Source organism: Homo sapiens, chromosome 11 (assembly GCF_000001405.40).
Source record: "Homo sapiens chromosome 11, GRCh38.p14 Primary Assembly".
Taxonomy (NCBI): domain Eukaryota; kingdom Metazoa; phylum Chordata; class Mammalia; order Primates; family Hominidae; genus Homo; species Homo sapiens.
The window spans coordinates 62,783,770-62,805,908 of record NC_000011.10 but is presented as its reverse complement, the minus strand read 5'-3'; the positions used below and the strand labels follow the sequence as shown (position 1 = coordinate 62,805,908).

General features: G+C 51.4%; 4 protein-coding genes and 2 non-coding genes across 18 annotated transcripts in view, besides 6 other annotated features; 3 read left to right on the top strand and 3 right to left on the bottom strand.

Annotated features, from left to right (window-relative positions):
• Positions 21–210: an enhancer, noted in NCBI's record as "active region_4850". NCBI's record gives its function as "activates an Ori minimal core promoter by ATAC-STARR-seq in GM12878 lymphoblastoid cells {active_cell/tissue: GM12878}" and the evidence as "EXISTENCE:reporter gene assay evidence [ECO:0000049][PMID:35858748]".
• Positions 177–676: an enhancer, noted in NCBI's record as "H3K27ac hESC enhancer chr11:62572705-62573204 (GRCh37/hg19 assembly coordinates)". NCBI's record gives its function as "activates a minimal SCP1, AML or CMV promoter by ChIP-STARR-seq in primed H9 embryonic stem cells {active_cell/tissue: H9 hESC(primed)}" and the evidence as "EXISTENCE:reporter gene assay evidence [ECO:0000049][PMID:30033119]".
• Positions 469–13,779, top strand: NXF1 (nuclear RNA export factor 1). Of its 5 annotated transcripts, none has more exons than XM_047426247.1 (21): positions 469–580; positions 1,931–2,117; positions 2,337–2,490; positions 3,649–3,732; positions 3,863–3,967; positions 4,090–4,170; positions 4,278–4,347; positions 4,492–4,580; positions 4,708–4,815; positions 5,423–5,532; positions 7,334–7,370; positions 8,523–8,591; positions 8,671–8,726; positions 9,342–9,449; positions 9,564–9,622; positions 9,728–9,843; positions 9,966–10,008; positions 10,902–10,974; positions 11,511–11,651; positions 13,208–13,268; positions 13,395–13,779. In XM_047426247.1, the coding sequence occupies exons 1-21, from the start codon at positions 553–555 to the stop codon at positions 13,431–13,433; spliced, it is 1,818 nt and encodes a 605-aa protein (XP_047282203.1). In that variant the 5' UTR covers positions 469–552; the 3' UTR covers positions 13,434–13,779. The 5 variants fall into 5 exon arrangements, with proteins under 5 accessions (XP_047282203.1, NP_006353.2, NP_001074960.1 ...); NM_006362.5 differs by having other exon boundaries at positions 11,469–11,651; XM_047426246.1 differs by lacking the exon at positions 469–580 and adding an exon at positions 820–1,827.
• Positions 13,138–13,207, top strand: MIR6514 (microRNA 6514). The gene has a single exon (NR_106769.1). It is a non-coding gene; the product is annotated as a microRNA 6514 (primary transcript).
• Positions 13,774–13,923: a silencer, noted in NCBI's record as "silent region_3431". NCBI's record gives its function as "represses an Ori minimal core promoter by ATAC-STARR-seq in GM12878 lymphoblastoid cells {active_cell/tissue: GM12878}" and the evidence as "EXISTENCE:reporter gene assay evidence [ECO:0000049][PMID:35858748]".
• TMEM223 (transmembrane protein 223) overlaps positions 13,903–22,139 on the top strand; it is a 20,887-nt gene continuing 12,650 nt past the window's right edge. For 3 of the 4 annotated variants that reach the window (XM_047427581.1, XM_047427579.1, XM_047427580.1), the window contains exon 1: positions 13,903–14,230. In XM_047427581.1, coding sequence (XP_047283537.1) covers positions 13,915–14,230 — 316 coding nt within the window. In that variant the 5' untranslated portion in view covers positions 13,903–13,914. Of the gene's footprint in view, positions 14,231–14,993; positions 15,939–22,139 lie in introns of those variants that run through there. The other variant, NM_001080501.3, reaches the window with a different exon arrangement.
• Positions 13,994–14,503: an enhancer, noted in NCBI's record as "active region_4849". NCBI's record gives its function as "activates an Ori minimal core promoter by ATAC-STARR-seq in GM12878 lymphoblastoid cells {active_cell/tissue: GM12878}" and the evidence as "EXISTENCE:reporter gene assay evidence [ECO:0000049][PMID:35858748]".
• Positions 15,509–18,507, bottom strand: TMEM179B (transmembrane protein 179B). Of its 4 annotated transcripts, none has more exons than NM_199337.3 (5): positions 18,382–18,507; positions 16,699–16,886; positions 16,483–16,617; positions 16,230–16,308; positions 15,509–16,023 (listed from the first exon to the last, which is right to left on the bottom strand). In NM_199337.3, exons 1-5 carry the CDS (start codon positions 18,475–18,477, stop codon positions 15,862–15,864), a joined length of 660 nt encoding a protein of 219 aa, NP_955369.1. In that variant the 5' UTR covers positions 18,478–18,507; the 3' UTR covers positions 15,509–15,861. The 4 variants fall into 4 exon arrangements, with proteins under 4 accessions (NP_955369.1, NP_001350529.1, NP_001350530.1 ...); NM_001363600.1 differs by having other exon boundaries at positions 16,525–16,617; NM_001363601.1 differs by lacking the exon at positions 16,699–16,886 and having other exon boundaries at positions 18,359–18,507.
• On the bottom strand, positions 16,024–16,094 carry MIR6748 (microRNA 6748). The gene has a single exon (NR_106806.1). It is a non-coding gene; the product is annotated as a microRNA 6748 (primary transcript).
• TAF6L (TATA-box binding protein associated factor 6 like) overlaps positions 18,567–22,139 on the bottom strand; it is a 15,947-nt gene continuing 12,374 nt past the window's right edge. For all 3 annotated transcript variants that reach the window (NM_006473.4, XM_005273714.3, XM_017017100.3), the window contains 2 exons: positions 19,521–19,649; positions 18,567–19,392 (listed from right to left, as the gene is read on the bottom strand). In NM_006473.4, coding sequence (NP_006464.1) covers positions 18,613–19,392; positions 19,521–19,649 — 909 coding nt within the window. In that variant the 3' untranslated portion in view covers positions 18,567–18,612. The remainder of the gene's footprint in view (positions 19,393–19,520; positions 19,650–22,139) is intronic.
• Positions 18,877–18,986: a silencer, noted in NCBI's record as "silent region_3430". NCBI's record gives its function as "represses an Ori minimal core promoter by ATAC-STARR-seq in GM12878 lymphoblastoid cells {active_cell/tissue: GM12878}" and the evidence as "EXISTENCE:reporter gene assay evidence [ECO:0000049][PMID:35858748]".
• Positions 19,237–19,436: an enhancer, noted in NCBI's record as "active region_4848". NCBI's record gives its function as "activates an Ori minimal core promoter by ATAC-STARR-seq in GM12878 lymphoblastoid cells {active_cell/tissue: GM12878}" and the evidence as "EXISTENCE:reporter gene assay evidence [ECO:0000049][PMID:35858748]".

Below are 22,139 nucleotides of genomic sequence, written 5' to 3'. Positions count from 1 at the left end.
TCTCAACTTCGTGATTTGTTAATCCATCTTATAGGCGAAGAAAGCGAGGTATAGACAAGGAGCCGAGCTGAAACACTGGCTAGATTCCGGTAGGGGTCTGAGCCATCACTCCCACCTGGAGGCGCGGTCTCCATTCCTCTGAAGCCCTTTGTGCGGCCCCCTTCCTCACTGAGTTCTGGGCTGCGGCGGCAGCACTGTGCTCTAGCACTAACTCTGAAGCTGCCAGGGCAGCGTCAGCGGACAGATGAAAAGGTGCGGGGACATGCTGGCTGCCAGCCGGGGTTCCGCAAGTTCAGGTCTTGGGCGGGGCGTGGAGGGCCAGGCCCCGCCCCTCGAACGACGGCCTTAAGTGTGCGCACGCGCAGGGGGCCGCGCTTTCTCCGGGCGGCGGCACCGCCCACAGCCTGGGACGTCAGCGGCGCGCGACGTGCTTTGCTGTATAAATGCGGTGGCGCCCGGCGTAGGGACACTTCGGTCCTGAGCGCTTGGGAGTTAGGTTGTTTGCCGGCGTAGCGGCCAGCGCCTGAGCCCGCCCTTGATCTTCGCTGTGGCATGGCGGACGAGGGGAAGTCGTACAGCGGTAAGTGCTGGTCTTCGGGTCGGGAACTGGCTATCTGGGGCGCGGGTGGGCGGCGCCGGCCTAGGCCTCAGCCCCCGGGGCGTGAGGCCGCTAGGGGCCCGGCGTCCGCGGGGAGCGGCGCGCGGGGGGCCGGGCACTCGAGGTGGACACCCGAGTTGTTGACTCCTGGATTCCTGCTGGCATCCTGGTGTTGGGGGACCTGCGGCTCGGAGCGGATGGCTCGGGGGTAGGGTGACGGGATTCCTTTGAACTTTGTGGGTGGTTGATGCCTGTCAGTTAGGTTTGGCGGCCTGACTCTTCCTTTAATGTGAGTGAGTGCCCTGCTCGTGGGCTGCCCTGATGCCCTATTTTTTACTGCGTCCAGTCGGTCTTGAACTCTCGGGCCTGGGCTTTGGCTTAATATTCGAGACTTACACATCAACTGGATATTCTAGTCTGAACACTACACTGGGTGTTAGTTCTTTGTAGTAAGTTAGGAGTGCGTGGTGGAGGTTGAAACCGTGAATTTAAAACTCTCGTTTTCCACCCCCTTAATGTGGAATAACAACAGCATTTCTTAAGAGTGTGTGTGGGGAGGGGAAATGAGATCATTCCTATCAAGTGCCTGAAGCATAGTGGCCGGCACTGGAGAAAGTTCTCAGTGAATGTTAGCTGCGCCTTCTATGTTCTTTTTTCCTAGGGTCATTTGTTGAGATTCATTGTTTACAGAGTGCTGGGTATTAGGCAGACCTCTTTTGGGAGTTAGGGACCTTTTTTAAGACGCCAGTCCTACACAGCATGAATCAGAAGGTCATCTTCCTGGAGAGCATTCCAGGGTCCCTGGTTAAGCACCCTAGCCTGGCACTGCCACTAGAGCCTGAGTCTAGAATTTGTCTCCTGAGTTAAAGGACATTTCTGGCCATGGAAACGAAGAGCTCCTCACAAAACTTCAAAGTGGCAGTTTGAGAACAAGGAGAATTTTTAGAGGATCCTTAAACTGGTCATATTTGTAACTGGCGTCTGCACTGTATAGACAAAGTACTGAGTGGCAGATTTCAGGTGGCTTTCAGAGGTCTGATTTGTGTTCAGTTACACTTTTGGGTCTCACATTTCTACATCCTGCTTCTCTCTAATTCCAGTTTCTACTTCATTTTTCAAAAGCCCTACACAGTTTTCCAGTAACTTTTCCCTGATGCTGCCCTCCCACAGAGAGGGTTCTTTCCTGTGGATAGGGAGCGGAGTTTGCATGGAGATGGCCTCTGTCGTTAGTATGTATCTCTTCCAATAGTTCAGAGTACTAGAAGCTATGATTGCCACACCAAACCGGACCAGTTACTTACTTCTAATTTGTGTTCCTGTTTCTAACTCTAGAACACGATGATGAACGCGTTAATTTCCCTCAAAGAAAGAAGAAAGGCCGGGGTCCCTTCCGGTGGAAATATGGTGAAGGAAACCGTAGGTCTGGAAGAGGCGGTTCTGGTATTCGGTCTTCCCGCCTTGAGGAAGATGATGGAGATGTGGCAATGAGTGATGCCCAGGATGGTCCCCGAGTACGATAGTGAGTGACCAGTTGGTCTGGTTTGAATTTAGTGGCTCATGAGATTATATGGCCCTTTTACTGTCCATGTCATTTCCTTTCCCACCTGTTAGAGTGAGAAATGCCAGGACTAGCTTAGTGATTAAACAGTCTTAGTTGTAGTCCCACTAACAGTGCAGGAAGGCCTTTGAGAAGACTTTCCTAGCATTTGTGGTCATTTTATTCTCTGCTTACCCACAGCAACCCCTATACCACCCGACCTAACCGTCGGGGTGATACTTGGCATGATCGAGATCGCATTCATGTTACTGTGCGGAGAGACAGAGCTCCTCCAGAGAGAGGAGGGGCTGGCACCAGCCAGGATGGGACCTCAAAGAACTGGTTCAAGATTACAGTGAGTACTTTGAGAAAGTAGATGGTACAGTAGAGATAGGAGGCCACGCTGAGAGTGGAGATGTTTAATTTTATTCCACAAAAATTATTATTATTATTTTTTTTAAATGGAGTCTTGCTCTGTCACCCAGGCTGGAGTACAGTGGCGTGATCTCGGCTCACTGCAGCCTCCGCCTCCCGGGTTCAAGCTATTCTGCCTCAGTCTCCCGAGTAGCTGGGACTACAGACACCCACCACCACGCCCGGCTAATTTTTGTATTTTTAGTAGAGACGGGGTTTCACTGTATTGGCCAGGCTGGTCTCGAACTCCTGACGTCATGATCTGCCCGCCTTGGCCCCCCAAAGTGCTGGGATTATAGGCATGAGCCACCGCACCCAGCCCAAAAATTCTCCTTGTCATCTGATTACTCCACACTCAAGTATCTATCTTTTCTCCTAGGAATCAGTATCTTCCAACACCTTAGAGCAGGTTCAGAGAAGGGGTGGAAGAGAAATATGAAAATTTTGGTTGGGGGAGGGAGTAATTCCTCTGGATGTCTTCATTTGGCTCAGGCTGAGTGTGGGGCTTGGAGTCCCTGGAGTGCCCTGGAGTTCTCTGAGGGGCAGGCAAGGTGTAAATAATATCTTGGAACTTTTAGAATAAATAAAATTGATTTTTTTTTGAGAGATTATAAGTGTAAATGGGCTGGGTACAGTGGCTCATGCCTGTAATCCCAGCACTTTGAGAGGCCGAGGTGGAGGATCACTTGAGGCTGGGAGTTCAAGACCAGTCTGGGAAATACAGCAAGACCCCTTCTCTACAGAAAATTTTAAAATTAGCCGGGCATGGTAGTACATGCCTGTAGTCCTAGCTACTCCAGAAAGCTGAGACAGGAGGATCGCTTGAGCCTAGGAAATGAAGGCTGCAGTGAGCTATGATCGCACCACTGCACTCCAGCCTGAGTGACAGAGTGAGGCCCTGTTACTAAGAAAAAATAGTAAGTGTAAGTAGACAGAAAGGAGTTAAAGAATCTATGTGTATCTCAAGTAGAAAACCTAGTACTGGTCCTTTCTTTAGATAGTCTTTAAAAGTTTGGTAGAAGGTATAAAAGGCATTGTATTGGGTCTGCTATTCAGCCTTACTTATCATTCCCTTCTTTTCTCTTTCTCTCATTTCTAGATTCCTTATGGCAGAAAGTATGACAAGGCATGGCTCCTGAGCATGATTCAGAGCAAGTGCAGTGTGCCCTTCACCCCTATTGAGGTAAGACAAGGCCTGAGTGGCTGGCTGGCCAGGCACCAGGGATGGTGAAGGGGCAAGCTGGACTCCCAGCGTAATGCCCCTCCCCAAGGGCTCTGGACTCCCAGTGTAATGCTCCTGTTTCCTCTTGTAGTTTCACTATGAGAATACACGGGCCCAGTTCTTCGTTGAAGACGCCAGTACTGCCTCTGCATTGAAGGCTGTCAACTATAAGATTTTGGATCGGGAGAACCGAAGGGTGTGTTTAAAGGGCCTGGCTTGGCTGGAGGTGGAGGTTGGTGCTCAGAGCAGGGACTGGGTCTTGTTCTTGCGGCTTAGGCTTCCCTAGAGTTTTCTGTGCCCTCTGTGTCTTCCCTCCAGATATCTATCATCATCAACTCTTCTGCTCCACCCCACACTATACTGAATGAACTGAAGCCAGAACAAGTAGAACAGCTAAAGGTGAGGCAGGCTCAAATTAGATGTTTCCAACCCAGTCTTACTACTTCTCACACCCCCACCCCCCACACACAAACCCAGTGACCACTAAACCCTTCTTTTTCCTCTAGCTGATCATGAGCAAACGATACGATGGCTCCCAACAAGCCCTTGACCTCAAAGGCCTCCGTTCAGACCCAGGTATGGTTGACAGCAGTAGTTCTCAGATAGGTGGTGATAAGGTGGGATCTGTCAGGGAGGGAAAGTTTGAGGATGTTTTACTGCTAATGCTGGCATGGGCAAACCCTCTCAGTCTTCCCTTTCCTTCCCTTCTGCTTCCTGAAGATTTGGTGGCCCAGAACATTGACGTTGTCCTGAATCGCAGAAGCTGTATGGCAGCTACCCTGAGGATCATTGAAGAGAACATCCCTGAGGTAAGGCCTTTGGCCCAGTATTAGGCATGAGGAAGCAGGGTGTGTTAGATAGGAAGTGGCTGGAGGGCAGATTCGTCTCTGATCCACTTGCTGGTGGTGCCTCCTCTAAACTCTTCTCTCCTCACAGCTATTGTCCTTGAACTTGAGCAACAACAGGCTGTACAGGCTGGATGACATGTCTAGCATTGTTCAGAAGGCACCCAACCTGAAGATCCTAAACCTTTCTGGAAATGAAGTGAGAATTGATAGCTCGGCTATATTTTTGAAGGGGTGGGTAGAGGGTGTAGAGAGTTTGTCCAGTGATGGCAAGAGGCAAGAGAGAGAACTCAGGCCAGATGTGCTGGTTTGCAACTCTAATCCTAACACTTTGGGAGGCCAAGGCAGGAGGATCACTTAAGGCTAGGAGTTTGCACGCCTCTAGTCCAAGCTGCCCCAGGGGGCTGAGGTGGGAGGATTGCTTGAGCTCAGGAGTTCAAGGCTGCAGTGAGTTATGATTGTGCCGTTGCATTCTAGCCTGAGCAACCTGTCTCAAAAAAATTTTTTTAATTTAAAAAATAAATTAGTCGAGCATGATGTCACATGCCTGTAGTCCTAGCTACCCAGGAGTCTGAGGTGGGAGGATCTCTTGAGTCCAGGAGTTTGAGGCTGCAGTGAACTATGATCATGCCACGGCACTGAACTTGGGTGACAGAGTGAGACCCTGTCCCAAAAAAAAAAAAAAAAGAAAAAATTTTAAAAGATTAGAAAAGATCTCAGAGCTAAGCGTAGGGACTGGGGGTATGGGGAGCCAGCTGGCTGTCTTCACCAGGGTCTCCTCCCTTTGTTCCTTCCACCCTTTGCAGTTGAAGTCTGAGCGGGAATTGGACAAGATAAAGGGGCTGAAGCTAGAAGAGCTCTGGCTCGATGGAAACTCCCTGTGTGACACCTTCCGAGACCAGTCCACCTACATCAGGTCAGTTGTAGCCTGTGTCTCCCCTCCTGGGGACCTTCACCCCCTGGGAGGCTGAGCTAATGCATCCTGACCAGGGCCCGTCTGCGGAGATGTGCAGCCCTGAGCTGGAACCACCTGTCCTTTGAGAGGATCGCGTGCTCCCCACTTTGGTCTGTCTGTGTCTTCCAGCTTTGTCCTGAGATGTTCTCTCTTCTCTTCTGACTTGACTATCTGTTTGCTGGGTCTGTGGCCTTTCTCTTTCTTCCTGAACACAACCTTTTCTAGAATCTCCCTACCCTGTTGTTCCAGGAAAGGCATCTCCCCTTTCTACTCTAACCAGAGGGTATCTTGTACATACCCTATAGATGGGGTTGCCTTGTGCCAAGAGCCTGGTGTCCATGGGTTGAGGAAGCCCTCCCTACCTGGGACTTCCTACTGAGATGGGCCTTCCCTCCTTTGTACTGTGATGGCCCCTCTTGCCCTTGCGCCAAGAGGGACCCTTTTCTCAGGATCCACTTGCCCAGGGCTGTTGCTGTCCATGCTGAGGTTGAGGCCTCCTAGGGGCTGGTGGCATGCAATCTGTCTCTCTTGCCCAGTGCTATGAGCTGGGCTCTCCCTGAAGAAGAAACCTGGGTTCCCCAAGATGTGACCAGAGCTGGGGCCCCGCCAGCAGGCGAGGGAATCCCAAGGCAGGTGCTGGGCGTGGAGGCCACGGGGGCATAGGCTACCAAGGAGACAGAGAACTGACCCCCTCGGGGGCGCTGCCTCTCCCTCACTCACACACTGCACGTCACCCTGTTTGGCCCCGGTGGATGGCTGGTTAGCCAGAGACGGGTAAGATTCCTCAGGGAAGGAACAACCTAAGACAGGCACAGTCGCAGAGGGGCCATCAGGAGAGAACTTGGGGGCAACAGAGGTGGGGCATGGACCCTCACCCCCACAATCCTACAGGGGCCTGAACCCTCACACCTTCTGAGGGAGGTCTCCTGCCCCCATGGCTGCTTTGCTTCCCACGCCCAGTTCAGATCGGGACCCAGGTAGCAGACAGAGACCTGGCCAACAGCAAGTGCCCACTCACCACAGCAAGGATTTGTTTCTCATTTCTACCTTGGACCACAGGGATGGGGCAGCTGAAAGAAAGGGCTGTGTCAGGGTGTCTTTCTCCCTTTTCTCCCTCATTTTTCTAGATGCTTTTTTGCCTTGTAGTTCTTTCTCTTTTTCTTTGCTTTCTCTTTCCTTTTTCTGTCTGTCTCCTATACCTCCCCATCTCTCCCTTGCCCCTGCCCCATCTTGCCTTTTTCTCTTTTTCCTCCTTTTCCTTTCTTATTCCTTTGCCTCTCCTCTTCCTGAGCCCCACCTGCTCATCTCCCTGCCCCAACATCCTGTGCCATCCCTGTGGTGTGTTTGGGTCTTGGCCAAAGCCAGACCTGGCAGAACTGATGGATACCTGGTGAGGCAGCGGAGCCCCTGGGCTCCCACCCCATTCCCTCCTCCCGGGGCTGCACAGGTGAGTAGGTGGAAGGTAAGGGGGGCAGGGAGGGGAAAGAGGTCCTGGGCTTAAAGCCTGGGCTTGGAGTACTGCTCCTTGACACTCAGGGTCAGGCAGAGAGAAAAGAGACAGCCTTCAAGGCAGTCCATGTCTGGGTGCCCCGGGTCAGGTGGGGAGTGGGGGCCATTTTTCCCTGAGCACAGGCTGGGAGGGAGTGGAGGGATGAGCAGGATGGGATGGGCTGTCCCTCGGGTTTGGTATATTTGCTCCTAGAGCAGCCCAGGAGGCACGGTGGCTCTGAAGCATCACTCACTTCTGTCCCGTTCTTGACAGCGCCATTCGCGAACGATTTCCCAAGTTACTACGCCTGGTAAGTCCATAATTTTTTCATTCTAACAAGCACAGCATCTCTCACTCACAAGGATTCCTGGATAGGTTTCTTTTTCTTTTTCTTTTTCTTTTTTTTTTTTTTATTTGAGACGGAGTTTCACTCGTCGCCCAGGCTGGAGTGCAACAGCATGATTTCAGCTCACCGCAACCTCTGCCTCCCAGGTTCAAGCGATTCTCCTGCCTCAGCCTCCTGAGCCCAAGTAGCTGGGATTACAGGCATGTGCTACCACACCTGGCTAATTTTTGTATTTTTAGTAGAGACAGGGTTTCACCATGTTCGCCAGGCTGGCCTTGAATTCCTGACCTCAGGTGATCCACCTACCTCGGCCTCCCAAAGTGCTGGGATTACAGACGTGAGCCACTCGCACCAGGCCCTTTTTTTTTTTTTTTTTGGATGGAGTCTTGCTCTGTTACCCAGAGTGCAGTGGTGCAATCTTGACTCACTGCACCGTTTGCCTCCTGGGTTCAAGTGATTCTCCTGCCTCAGCCTCCTGAGTAGCTGGGATTACAGGCATGTGCCACAATGCCCGGCTAATTTCTTTGTGTATTTTTAGTAGAGATGGGGGTTTCATCTTGTTGGCCAGGATGGTCTTGAACTCCTGACCTCAACTAATCCATCCACCTTGGCCTCCCAGTGTGCTGGGATTACAGGTGTGAGCCACTGCGCCCAGCCTGGATCCCTGGATACTTTTCATGATGCGTTTACACTTGACTTCTGACCCTTCTCTCTTAGTTCTTCAGTCTACTTATGCACCCAGCCTTTTTCTCTCTGGTTTAAACTGTCAACTTTCTTTTTTGTTTGTTTTGTTTTTTGAGACAGGGTCTGGCTCTGTCATCCAGGCTGGAGTGCAGTGGCACAATCGTAGCTTACTGCAACCTTCGCCTGCCAGGCTCAAGTGATCCTCCCACTTCAGCCTCCCAAGTAGCTAGGACTCCAGGCACGCACCACCATGCCCAGCTAATTTTTGTATTTTTTTTGGTAGAGATGGGTTTTGCCACGTTGTCCAGCCAGGCTGGTCTCAAACTCCTGAGCTCAAGCCATCTGCCTGCCTCGGCCTCCCAAAGTTCTGGGATCACAGGTGTGAGCCACTGGGCCCAGTCTACACTGTCAACTTTTACTTCCTTTCCACAGGATGGCCATGAGCTACCCCCACCAATTGCCTTTGATGTTGAAGCCCCCACGACGTTACCGCCCTGCAAGGTAGGAAGCATGGACAGAGTAAGAACTTGTGTGTGGAGAGAATACTGCTTCCATGTTCCTAATACCTGTTTGATTTCAGGGAAGCTATTTTGGAACAGAAAACTTGAAGAGTCTGGTCTTGCACTTCCTGCAACAGTAAGTATCCCAGGGTCCCCCCTCCCCACCCCGAGGTTGAGGGGGAATGGTGGGCAGACCCAGGCACACATCAATCTTTTTGTTTTGTTTTTTGTTTTGTTTTTTTTTTTTTTTTTGGACAGTGTCTCACTGTGTCACCCAGGCTGGAGTGCAATGGTGTGATCTTGGCTCACTGCAACCTCTGCCTCCCAGGGTTCAAGTGATTCTCCTGCCTCAGCCTCCCCAGTAGCTGGGACTACAGGTGTGTGCCACTGCACCTGGCTAATTTTTGTATTTTTCGTACAGATGGGATTTCACTATGTTGGCCAGGCTGGTCTCCAACTCCTGACCTCATGATCCACCTGCCTCTTCCTCCCAAAGTGTTGGGATTAGAGGCGTGAGCCACCGCACCTAGCCATTTTTTTTGTATTTTTAGTAGAGACAGGGTTTCGCCATGTTGCCCAGGCTGGTCTTGAACTCCTGGGCTCAAGCTATTCACCCATCTCAGCCTCCCAAAGTGCTGGGATTACAGGCATGAGCTTCCATGCCCGGCCACAACTCACTCTTGGGAGCTACTGGGTCCTTGTATGGCTGTAGACCACAGAGCCCATACTTTCTTTTTTGTTTTTCCCATAGGTACTATGCAATTTACGACTCTGGAGACCGACAAGGGCTCCTGGATGCCTACCATGATGGGGCCTGCTGTTCCCTGAGCATTCCTTTCATTCCTCAGAACCCTGCCCGGTTAGTATCACATCCCAGAATCTGCCCGGGACCACTGGGTTTCCCAGCAGATACAGGGCACACCTGCTGGCAGCACTGCTCTGAACACCACGTCCATTCCTTTTATTCCCCCAGAAGCAGCTTAGCCGAGTATTTCAAGGATAGCAGAAATGTGAAGAAGCTTAAAGACCCTAGTAAGTGTGTGATACGAACAAAATATGGGAAAAGGGCATGGGAAGGAATCAGTCAGAACTCAGGAGTGTGTGGCAGCACCACTGAGCTTTCTCCTCTACCCACAGCCTTGCGGTTCCGGCTGCTGAAGCACACGCGTCTCAACGTTGTTGCCTTCCTCAATGAGTTGCCCAAAACCCAGCACGACGTCAATTCCTTCGTGGTAGACATAAGCGCCCAGACAGTAAGCTCCTGCTTGCGCCTGACAGAAGCCTAGAATTGGGGTGGGGGTGGCATTTAATAGGCAAGGGGGGGCACTCAGGCTCTGAGAAGTGTACATTGTACCTGATGCTGCTTCTCTTTCAGAGCACATTGCTGTGTTTTTCTGTCAATGGAGTCTTCAAGGAAGGTAAGAATCTTTAGAGTCCCGAGTTTGTAGCGTGGTCCCACCCCCAGCTGGAATTTTCCTCAGCACTCTTAGCTTCCCAGCTACTTTCTCTCCCATTTTCTTTTTGAGCTCCTTCTCCCATTCTGCCCCCAAGCCGTCTTGGCTTGGCCTACCTCTCCACCTGTCCTGTCTGGATGTGGGAAAAGCCTGGGGATTAGGAGGACTTTGGAGTCAGGCAGTTCTTAGTTTCCATCCTAGTTTTGGTTGTGCGGGGCTGTGGACAAGTAACATTACCTCTAAGACAGATTCTTTATTTGTAAGATGGGGTTAGTAATAGCCGTCTCATAGTGGTGCTATAGGAAGTAAACTGAAGTGACTTACAAAGTGCTTGGCCTGGGGCCTGGCATACAGATGCTATCAGTGGATTAGTAGTTATTACTTTTTTTTGAGATGGAGTCACACTCTATCACCAGGCTGGAGTGCAGTGGCGCAATCTTGGCTCACTGCAACCTCCGTCTCCTGGGTTCAAGTGGTTCTCCTGCTTCAGCCTCCCGAGTAGCTGGGACTACAGGTGCGCACTACCACGCCCAGCTAATTTTTGTATTTTTAGTAGAGAAGGGGTTTCGCCATGTTGGACAGGATGGTCTCGATCTCTTGACCTCGTGATCTGCCCACCTCAGCCTCCCAAAGTGCTGGGATTATACGCATGAGACACTGTGCCCGGCCGTAGTTATTACTATTGTCCTTTCTGACCTGACCCTTCACCCCACCTGTGCTTCCCTTATACCCTTATATACTTAATCATTCCTCTCTGACTTGCTAGGATTCTTTATATCAAAGACCATGATTCAAGAAGCTGTTTGTAAACATAAAGCACTAGTGACCCTAAGGTGTTGTTGCTGTTCTTATTGCAGTGGACGGAAAGTCCCGGGATTCTTTGCGAGCCTTCACCCGGACATTCATTGCTGTTCCTGCTAGCAATTCAGGGTAAGTATTCTGCTTTTCGCATTGGATACCAGTCCTAATCCATGGCCAACAGTGTGGTAATTGGAGGGTAGAGTCAGTCTTTGGGGTGATTTCAGAAAGGCAACAGGAAATCAGAGAAAGCTCACATAGTAGTTAAGAGCCAGTTAATAGCTTGGCTCTGGAATTGTACCGTCTGGGTTTTCATCCTGGCTCCACCACTTCTAGCAAGTAGGCTGCTGCCTCATCTGAAAATTCATATAACAATATTCATTTCCTAAGTTTGTTGTGAGGATGAATTAAAAGAGCTAAAGTCCATGCGTTGGGAGAACCCTAGTGTGTTTAGTAGATAATCCTTCCAAACATTGATTCCATGGGAGGGGATAAATGATAAAAGGTAACAATAGCTAAGAGTGGGAGGGGGACCTTGTGGATATTGAAAGAATCAGAGAATAGGAATGATGTTGGGAGGATGATGTTATCTCTGTCTAGCTTTTTAAGTGCTCTTTGTCCTCAAGGCTATGTATTGTAAATGATGAGCTATTTGTGCGGAATGCCAGTTCTGAAGAGATCCAAAGAGCCTTCGCTATGCCTGCACCCACGCCTTCCTCCAGCCCGGTGCCCACCCTCTCTCCAGAGCAGCAGGAAATGTTGCAAGCATTCTCTACCCAGTCTGGCATGAACCTCGAGTGGTCCCAGAAGTGAGTGCGGGGCATGTGTAGGATGGGGATGCACTGAAGTAGGGCTAGTAGTAAATAATGAGGGCTCCTGACAGTTTTTTTGTTTTTTTTTTGGAGACAAGTTCTTGCGCTGTCATCCAGGCTGGAGTATAGTGGTGATCATAACTCACTGTAGCCTCTAATTCCTGGGCACAAGCTGTCCTCCCACCTCAGCCTCCAGAGTAGCTGGGCCTATAGGCATGTGCCACCTTATTTTATTTTATTATTTTTTTTTTTTGGAGGTGGAGTCTTGCTATGTTGCCCAGGCTGGAGTGCAGTGGTGCGATCTTGGCTCATTGTAACCTCTGCCTCCCGGGTTCAAGCAATTCTCCAATCTCAGCCTCCCGAGTAGCTGGGATTACAGGCACACACCACCATGCCTGGCTAATTTTTGTATTTTTTTTTTTTTTTTTTTTTTTTAGTAGAGACGGGCTTTCATCATGTTGGCCAGGCTGGTCTCGAACTCCTGACCTTGTGATCTGCCTACCTCGGCCTCCCAAAGTGCTGGGATTACAGGCATGAGGCACTGCACCCAGCCAAATTTTTATTTGCTTGTTTGTTTTGAGACAGGGTCTCACTCTGATGCCCAGGCTGGAGTACAGTGGTGTGATCACAGTTCACTGCAGCCTCAACTGCTAGGGCTCAGGTGATTCTCCCACCTCAGCCACCTGAGTAGCTGGGACTACAGGCATAGGCCACAGCACCTGGCTAATTTTTTTGTATTTCTTTGCAGAGATGGGGTTTCACCATGTTGCCCACCTAGGCCTCCCAAAGTGCTGCGGTTATAGGTGTGAGTTACTGTGCCTGGGCTCCTGAAATTTTAAAAGGCAAAACTTTTGGCTGCTTAAAAAAACCTAATAGTTGGCTGGGAGAGGTGGCTCACACCTGTAATCCCAGCACTTTGGGAGGCTGAGGCGGCCAGATCACGAGGTCAAGAGATCAAGACCATCCTGGACAACATGGTGAAATCTCGTCTCTACTAAAAATACAAAAATTAGCGGGGCTTGGCGTTCCACGCCTGTAGTCCCAACTACTCGGGAGGCTGAGGCAGGAGAATTGCTTGAACCTGGAAGGCGGAGGTTGCAGTGAGCCGAGATCACGCCACTGCACTCCAGCCTGGTGACAGAGCAAGACTCGGTCTCAAAAAAAAAAAAAAAGCAAACAGAAAAACACAAACCTGATAGTCTATAAAAAATTTGCCTGTGTATAAATTAACATAAAAAACTTTAAAGGTAAAATGGAAGTTCCTTTTCATATACTGTTCTGCAACTTAGTTTCTTTACTTACACCATGAACATCTTTCCCTACCACTGTAAAAACTATCTTGAGCTTCTTGACAGCTATTTAATATTCCTTATCTTTGAGAAGCCATTGGTAGAACATCTGGACTTTTACTAATGTCTCATTTGTATAAATAGTGCAAGGATGTATAAGAATGTACATATTTGTTGGCAAACTTGGGTGCTTTTATGGAGTGGACTTTCAGCTGGCATTTACGAGTCAGAGTTCTTACAGAGCTGCCTGTTCTTCCACTCCAGGTGCCTTCAGGACAACAACTGGGACTACACCAGATCTGCCCAGGCCTTCACTCATCTCAAGGTAAGGTCTGGAAATACAGTGGCAAAAAGACTAGGATCTCTGGGCCTCCAGGAGGTCAGGTTAGCTGAGTGGGGTTGCTGAGTGGCGAGGGTAGGCCTACCTCTACTGACCTTCATTTTTCTCCAGGCCAAGGGCGAGATCCCAGAAGTGGCATTCATGAAGTGATCGTAGTCATGCCTCAGAAGCAGTCCCCCCTGTAAATAGTCCTTGGATATTACCGTCTGGTTGTCGTCTGTCATCTCCTCCTGTCTGGCCCGAGGCCGCCCCGTGACTGTGACCGAGGGAGGGAGGGCTGCCTGATCCCTCTCCTCGCCTGCCTTCTGGAAGACTTCAGAAGATTGAGCCTCACTGGTGCCAGGAAGCCAAAGCTTACTTTGTAGAACTGACACTAAACTACCCGAAGGACTTAGGTGCTTTGTGTACTTAACCCCAGGACCTCCTTACTTTTTAATATAAAGAGTGATGTTGTATTTCGTGTTCTGCACTTTTTAATATAAAGAGTGATGTTGTATTTCGTGTTCTGCGTGCTGGATTGGTTGTCTCCTCCCAGCCCTGAGCGAGGGGGGCGGGCCCTCTAGCGGGGGCGCCCAGGGAGGGCGGAAGGCGGCTCTGCGGCAGGAAGCCCCACCCCGGAAGTCGGCTGGCCATGGCGGCGCCTTGGAGGCGATGGCCCACGGGGCTGCTAGCCGTGCTGCGGCCCCTGCTCACCTGCCGGCCCCTGCAAGGCACGACGCTGCAACGGGATGTGCTGCTCTTTGAGCATGATCGGGGCCGCTTCTTCACCATCCTCGGGCTGTTCTGCGCGGGCCAGGGCGTCTTCTGGGCTTCCATGGCTGTGGCAGCCGTGTCCCGGCCCCCGGTTCCGGTGCAGCCTCTGGATGCGGAGGTCCCAAATCGTGGCCCCTTCGACCTGCGCTCCGCGCTCTGGCGCTACGGTCTGGCCGTCGGCTGCGGCGCCATCGGTAAGACGTGGGCTGGCTTCCCACTGTGACAACGTGGGGTGGCGGGACACGACCTTCCCTATACAGGCAGGGAGAGTCAGGGACTCCCTATCCGAGAGTGGCGGGCGGGCTTTACCCCACAGAAATGTGAAACACTGGCCGGGCGCGGCGGCTCAAATGCTGGGAGGCCGGAGGCGGGCGGATCACTAGGTCAGGACATCCAGACCATCCTGGCTAACACCGTCAAACCCTGTGTCTACTAAAAATACAAAAAATTAGCTGGGCGTGGTAGCAAGCGCCTGTAGTCCCAGCTACTCGGGAGGCTGAGGCAGGAGAATCAATTGAACCTGGGAGGCGGAGGTTGCAGTGAGCCGAGATGACGCCACTGCACTCCAGCCTAAGCGACCGAGCGAGACTCCCCTCTCAAAAAAAAAAATTGGGAAACAGTGATGTCTCCGAGCGCCGTGCCCTGTCATAGCCTAGGCTGAGGGCTGCCCTTCACTCTGCGACCTTGAGCAAGGTCCTTAAAGCTCTCCATCTTCCCATTAAAATGGAAACGGACATCTATTAAGGTTGTTGGGAGGAATAACAAGATTACTGGGTATAACAGGAGCTCAGTACTGCACTCCAGCCTGGCCGGCAGAGTGAGACTCAGTCTCAAAAAAAAAAGCGCTCAGTAAATACTACTTTCATCCCACAAATTTCTTATTCAGAGGGCACTGGAAAGGTCGGTACTTAGATGCCCAGTGAAAACCCCTCACCCCAATCTCTGCCCTGCCTGCAGGAGCCCTCGTACTCGGTGCTGGTCTTCTCTTCTCTCTCCGGTCTGTGCGCTCAGTGGTGCTTCGAGCTGGAGGGCAGCAGGTGACCCTCACCACTCATGCCCCCTTTGGCTTGGGGGCCCATTTCACAGTTCCTTTGAAGCAGGTATCTTGCATGGCCCACCGGGGTGAAGTCCCTGCCATGCTACCTCTGAAAGTCAAAGGCCGACGCTTCTATTTCCTCTTGGACAAAACTGGACACTTCCCTAACACAAAACTCTTTGACAATACTGTGGGTGCCTACCGGAGCTTGTGAAGAAATGACCTCAAGTCACTCACCTCTCCAAGAGGAGGATAAAAACTGAACCTTGGGGAGCCAGGTGTGTTGGTTCACACCTGTTGTAATCCCAGCACTTTGGGAGGGTGAGGCAGGAGCACTGCTCGAGCCCAGGCTGGGCAACATAGCGAGACCTTGTCTCTATTTACAAAAAAAAAAACAAAAAAAAACGCCAATCTTAGAATGGAGTAACAACCAGGGTCACACAAGGAGGTCAAGATTCATTAACAACAAATAAAGGAGCAGTCATCCCTAGGGCAGCTGCCTAACAGTACCTCTAAGTTTCAGTCCATGTCTGCTTAGCCTTCACTCCTTCCTCCTATCTAGTTGTACTTTAACATCAAAAACTCACTACTAAGATGAAGACAGTAATATAATATTTTGGTACAAAAACAGCTGCAGGAAGAGGTGGAGGGGGGCCTGTCATTATGTTTCCCCCCCACCCCCCAACGAAAGGAAAACTAAGACTCCCAACATAAACAGGGCCTTGAGGGGGGGGATTACAGGCACTTGGGCATGGAGTCTTCGGCTGCAGGAAGCACTCCGCTTATTCTTCAGGAATGGGAAAGGCGTGACCCAACGAGAGCATCTGTCTCAGAGCTCCACTCAGGGTCACCCCTCTCCAGAGGCCGGTATGGGGTGGCTTCAGACTTCCACTGCACGACCTGGAGCACCAAGACCACACACCACAATACCAAATTCACCCAAGAAGAGGTCTGTAGGAGACAGGGACAGGATCGTCAGGAGTGGGACCATTTCAAATCCAGTCCTTCCCACCCACACACCACTCTGAACTGCTGAATTTTAAGCTGACAACCCCTTCAGCTCCTCTCACTGGTAGGCCAAGCTCACAATACACTGGTGAGCACCCACACAGCTACAGATATTTATGTCAGTTTTTCCTCCTATCCTTGGGTCTCACTTCAGCATTGTGTAGGTTGGAGTAAAACTGCAGAGCAGTTCCAGGGGGTGTCCATGGAATTTTCTGGGCTTCAGAACAGCTGTGAGGTCAAAGAGACAGTTGTGAGAAAGCGTGATAGTTTATATCCGAGGCACACCTGTGCCCAGTGCCCTGTGAGTTGAGAGCAACTGATGGGGATAAAAGGAAATTATAGGACCCCGCTGCAGAGGGAAGGTAGTCAGCCCCAGCCAGGCTTCCCTCCCTCTCCCATTACCTAATTGTAGTGTTCAAGGAGATGATGGAGTTGCAGAGAGACCTGGTGCCAAATCGAAGGATACAGGCAGACACCAAGACCAGGAAGACGGCTATAGCTGAGATGGCCAGTGCAATGCGCAGCCCTATAGCACCTCTGAAAGGGAGAGAACAAGCCTTGTGGTGGAGGTGAGGCTCATCCTACCTCAGCCCCTGGCCCTCAGGGTTAGGCAGTCACCTGTGGGAGTCCTCGATGCAGCTGCTGTAGATCCAGAAGAGCAAAAGCAGGAGGCAGTAGAGGGCCAAGAGGCCAGAGGCCCCAGCTACAAAGTAGCACAGGGATGGTGCTGAGGGACGGGATAAGGCCAGGGAGGAGCCATTCAGGGTGGCCACACCATACAGGGGACATCTACCACTGAAGGAGCCCTGTGGAGAGAAGCTGCTGAGTCCTAGATTTCAGGTTAATGTCTCTAGATACAGTCTCTTGGTAGGGTGTTAGTGATAACTTAGGAATGGTCCTGCATTCCAGGAAGTTATTTGTGCACCGTCAATTCCTATTTCTGGGACAGGGATATTGATGGAGAGGGCCTGCTGGGGAATCACACCGGCAGTGGCCAGAAGGATCAGAAAATAGGCAATGAATATAGAATGCAATGAGCTTCAGAGAAGCCTCACAAGTTATGGTCTCTGTGCAGAAACCTTAGAGTAAACCCAGGCCTTGTATATCCTTCAACAAATAACTATCTGTGAGGTGCTTTTTTTTTTTTTTTTTGCTGGAGTGCAGTGGCGCCATCTCGGCTCACTGCACGCTCTGCCTTCTGGGTTCATGCCATTCTCCTGCCTCAGCCTCCTGAGTAGCTGGGACTACAGGCACCCGCCACCATGCCTGGCTAATTGTTTGTATTTTTAGTAGAGACAGGGTTTCACCGTGTTGGCCAGGATGGTCTTGATCTCCTGACCTCGTGATCCGCCTGCCACGGCCTCCCAAAGTGCTGGGATTACAGGCGTGAGCCACCAGGCCCGGCCAGTGTTTTTGTTTTTGTTTTTGCGATGGAGATTCGCTCGTCACCCAGGCTGGAGTGCAATGGCACGATCTCGACTCACTGCAACCTCCGCCTCCCAGGTTCAAGCGATTCTCCTGCCTCAGCCTCCGAAGTAGCTGGGATTACAGGCATGAGCCACCACACCCGGCTAATTTTTGTATTTTTAGTAGAGACAGAGTTTTGCCATGTTGGCCAGGCTGGTCTCGAACTCCTGACCTCAAGTGATCCGCCTGCCTCAGCCTCCCAAAGTGCTGGGATTACAGGCGTGAGTCACCGCGCCCGGCGGATCTCTGAGGTTTTCTCATGGTGTAAAATAGGCACACTAGTGCCTACTTTATAGGCATTAAATGAACCCATGTTTATTAACCAGATTACCTGGCTGGGGTAAACGATGTAAATTATTGGCTTCTACCTTTACGTCAGCGTTTTCTCCATCTCTCATTTTGTCATTTAACACACTGTGCTACAATCATGTGGCAGCTTGATCATCTCCACTACACTATGCTTTATTTCTCGACAAAGCTCAGCACAAATGGCTTCTGATTTAACGGATGGACGCAGGTTCTGCACTGACTTCTGTTTCGGAACCACAGTAAGGCTGTGCAGCAGGAGCCACGAAACCCGACTCCACCTAGTGCTTTAAGACGCTACTGACCCGTCCCTTTGGCGAGGGGACAACTTCGAAGTATGACCTGGCCAGGAGGAGCCACAAAGCGCGATTAGCCTCGCTGCATTTCAGGTACAGGCCGGCGCCAGCCGTGCCTCACCAGGTCCACCGGCTCCGAGCAGCAGCAAGCCCGGTCGGAAAGCGAAAGTGGCCTCGCCATGTCCAGACCGGCCAGCTCCCCCGCCTACCTGACCCCGCCCCGCAGCCGCACCTGGGTCCGAGTCATCGCCGCGGCCGCCACGGCCCCGCACAGGAAGGCGGCAGCAAAGAGCGCAAGCTCGACGCGCTGCAGCCAGGACAGCGCCATGGCGCCCTGACCACCAGGAAGCGCCGCTGCAGCAGCACCCCGCCCAAAGCCCACCTTATCCGGCGCGACCCACGAAGGTGGAGACGTCATTTCCGGGGGCGGGATTTATTTACAAGGAACGAAGGGGCCACTGACTCAGAGCGGCAAGTACAGCGAGTAGTCCGAGAGCGCCCACCGGCGGGCGGGGCGGCTGGTACGGCCGATCATGGGCAGTTTCTGCACGTAGCGCGAGGCCGGGCTAGGCCCGTACGGCGCGGGGAAGGCAGTCTGGAAAAGGCGCCCGCGGCAGCGCCTCCCAGCCTGCCGCCCGGCTATGATGAAACGAAAGTGCGGGGCGCCGCGCGGGGCGAAACGGCTCTTCTGGAAAACGTCGCGGGTGCCGGTCCCGGGGCCCTGCTGCCGGGGTGCCCCGCGCGCCCGATGCACGCGCGGCAAGGGCCTGCTCTCAGAGGCGGCGGGCCCAGAGGCCGACGCGGGGCCGCCTCCGCCGCTGCCCCGGGGGCTCTCGTCGCCGTGCGGGCTGACTATGGCGCTTGCCGTCAGCTGCGGCATCTTCCGCACCGAGTCCGGGGCTGCCGCCGGCTCCTTCTTGTCCCCGGGCGGCCGCGGAGCCGTGGGTGCAGGCTGGCCGGTGCCAAAGCGTGTGGCCAAGCTGTCACCGAAGAAGGCGTAGAGCTCCCGGTAGATGTCGGCCAGGGTCACCGAAAGAGAAGGGTCCTCCGGCCCCGCGCCCCCTGGCGGCAGCGGGAGGCCGGACCCAAAGCTGGGTTCTGCACCGCCCCCGGAGGACGACTCTTGAAAGAGAAGGCTGTCCCATGGCAGGTCGTCCAGGCGCCGGCACCCCCTGCCACCTGGGCCACCCCTGTTGGGCTCTGCTGCCTGGGCCTTCATCTTCAGCAGTCGCTCTACCGCCACCTGTAAGAGCCAAGGACTAAGATAGGCAAAAAATTCGAGGAACCTGGGCCCATCAAATATTCCAAAGTAAGCCTGCTTGGCTGCTAAGCTCATGCAGGGAAGGGAGGCTGGAAGGGGACGGTACTCACCAGAATGGCTCCATAGACTTTGTGTCCATCTGCTTTGACCTGGGCATTAGATACTGAATAATCATCCAGCACAGCCTGCAAGTTTGTCCAGTAGGTGGACAGGTGTGGGTACAGGACTCGTTCTACTGCCTGGAAGGAAGAGAAGGAATACAGTTAGCATGTCTTTGATACTTATTCCCTCTCAAGGACCCTTTCCCATGAAAGACCTACCTTTATCTCTGATCCTAGACAGGGCTCAATCCTCCTAAATTCCCTGATTGGCATATTCAACCATATATTTATTTGGAACCTACTGTATACCTAAGCTAGGCATTGGGAATAAAGATAAGGTACAAAGGGAGACAATAAAAAATATACCCAATATCACTGCCCTGTGTGCTAAATAATGCTCATTACTGACAACTCCAAAATTTAGTTTGCATACTGCTACCCTATACAATCAGGCAAGTACTGGCTTCACTTAGATGTAAACTGAGACTCAGTTCAAACAATCTGCATAAAAACAACCAACCAGAGACTTGGACTCTGATTATACAATTTAAAATCCTGTGATTGGACAGGCGCTGTGGCTCACGCCTGTAATCCCAGCACTTTGGGAGGCCGAGGCCAGTGGATCACCTGAGGTCAGGAGTTCAAGACCAGCTTGGCCAAGATGGTGAAACCCCATCTCTACTAAAAATACAAAAATTAGCTGGGCGCAGTAGCAGTTGCCTGTAATCTCAACTACTTGGGAGGCTGAGGCAGGAGAATCACTTGAACTCGGGGGGCAGAGGTTGCAGTGAGCCGAGATCACACCACCGCACTCCACCCTGGGAAGCAAAGTGAGACTCCGTCTCAAAAAAAAAAAAAAGAATTAACTATAAGGAAAATACCAGCTGGGCCTATAAGGAAAATACCAGCCGGGCGCTGTGGCTCACGCCTGTAATCCCAGCACTTTGGGAGGCCAAGGCAGGCGGATCAGGAGGTCAGGAGTTCGAGACGAGCCCTGGCCAGCACAGTGAAACCCCGTCTCTACTAAAAATACAAAAAATTAGCCAGGTATGGTGGTGAGCGCCTGTAATCCCAGCTACTCGGGAGGCTGAAGCAGGAGAATCGCTTGAACCCAGGAGGCAGAGGTTGCAGTGAGCCGAGGTCGCGCCATTGCACTCCAGCCTGGGTGACAGTGTGAGACTCTGTCTCGAAAAAAAAAAAAAGGAAAGAAAATACCATGCCAGAATTTACAAAAGTCTACAGACACTCAAGAAAAAGATAGGCGAGGTGCAGTGCCTCACGCTTGTAATCCCAGCACTTTGGGAAGGCCAAAGGATCACTTAAACCAAGGAGTTTGAGACCAGCCTGGGCAATGTAGGAAGACCTCATCTCTATTAAATAAAAAAAGAAAAGAAAAAGATGATCTAAATCTTATTAAAGTAAATATAAAAAAGAAATACTCCCCACATCATTCTGTAAGGCCAGTATAACCCTGATTCTAAAACCAGACAAGGACAGTACATGAGAGGAAACATGTTTAATTTCACTCCTGAATATAAACCCTTTTAAAATTTAGCAGACCCACAAGTAAATTAAAATGCATTACAGTCCAATAAAAGCTTTGGGTTTTTTCTTTACGACTATCCCATGACATAGTTTAGTGTATCATGGAACTATAAAGATTGTTTACTATCAGGAAATCTGTAATAACATTGGAAAACAAAAGCTGAAAAGCCTTCGGATCATTTCAAAAGATGCAGAAAAACCATCTGATAAAAATCCAATATAAATTGATGATAAAATTAAGAATATAGGCCAGGCACGGTGGCTCACACCTGTAATCCCAACACTTTGGGAGGCCAAGGCGGGCGGATCATGAGGCCAGGAGATCGAGACCATCCTGGCTAACACGGTGAAACGCTGTCTCTACTAAAAATACAAAAAATTAGCCGGGCATGGTGGCGGGCGCCTGTAGTCCCAGCTACTCTCGGGAGGCTGAGGCAGGAGAATGGCGTGAACCCGGGAGGCGGAGGTTGCAGTTAGCCAAGATGGCGCCACTGGACTCCAGCCTGGGTGTCAGAGCGAGACTCCGTCTCAAAAAAAAAAAAAAAATTAAGAATATATATATATGGCCAGGCACCGGTGGCTCACGCCTGTAATCCCAGCACTTTGGGAAGCCGAGGCGGGCGGAACACGAGGTCCAGAGATTGAGACCATCCTGGCCAACATTGTGAAACCCCGTCTCTACTAAAAATACAAAAATTAACTGGCCCTGGTGGTGCGTGCCTGTAAGTCCCAGCTACTCAGGAGGCTGAGGCAGGAGAATCACTTGAACCCGGGAGGTGGAGGTTGCAGTGAGCCGAGATCACGCCACTGCACTCCAGCCCGGGCGACAGTGTGAGACTCTGTCGCCCGGGCTGGAGTGTAGTGGCGCCATCTTGGCAAGATTCCATCTCAAAAAAACAAAAATCTCAAAAGCAACAAATAGAACTTATTCCAGGTATACAAAAGTGGTTCAGAAGAAGAATCCATTAATACACCTAGCATATCAACAGAATAGAACTTGTCATATTAAACCACATAATCGGCTGGGCGTGGTGGCTCATGCCTATAATCCCAGCACTATGGGAAGCCGAGGCAGGCAGACCA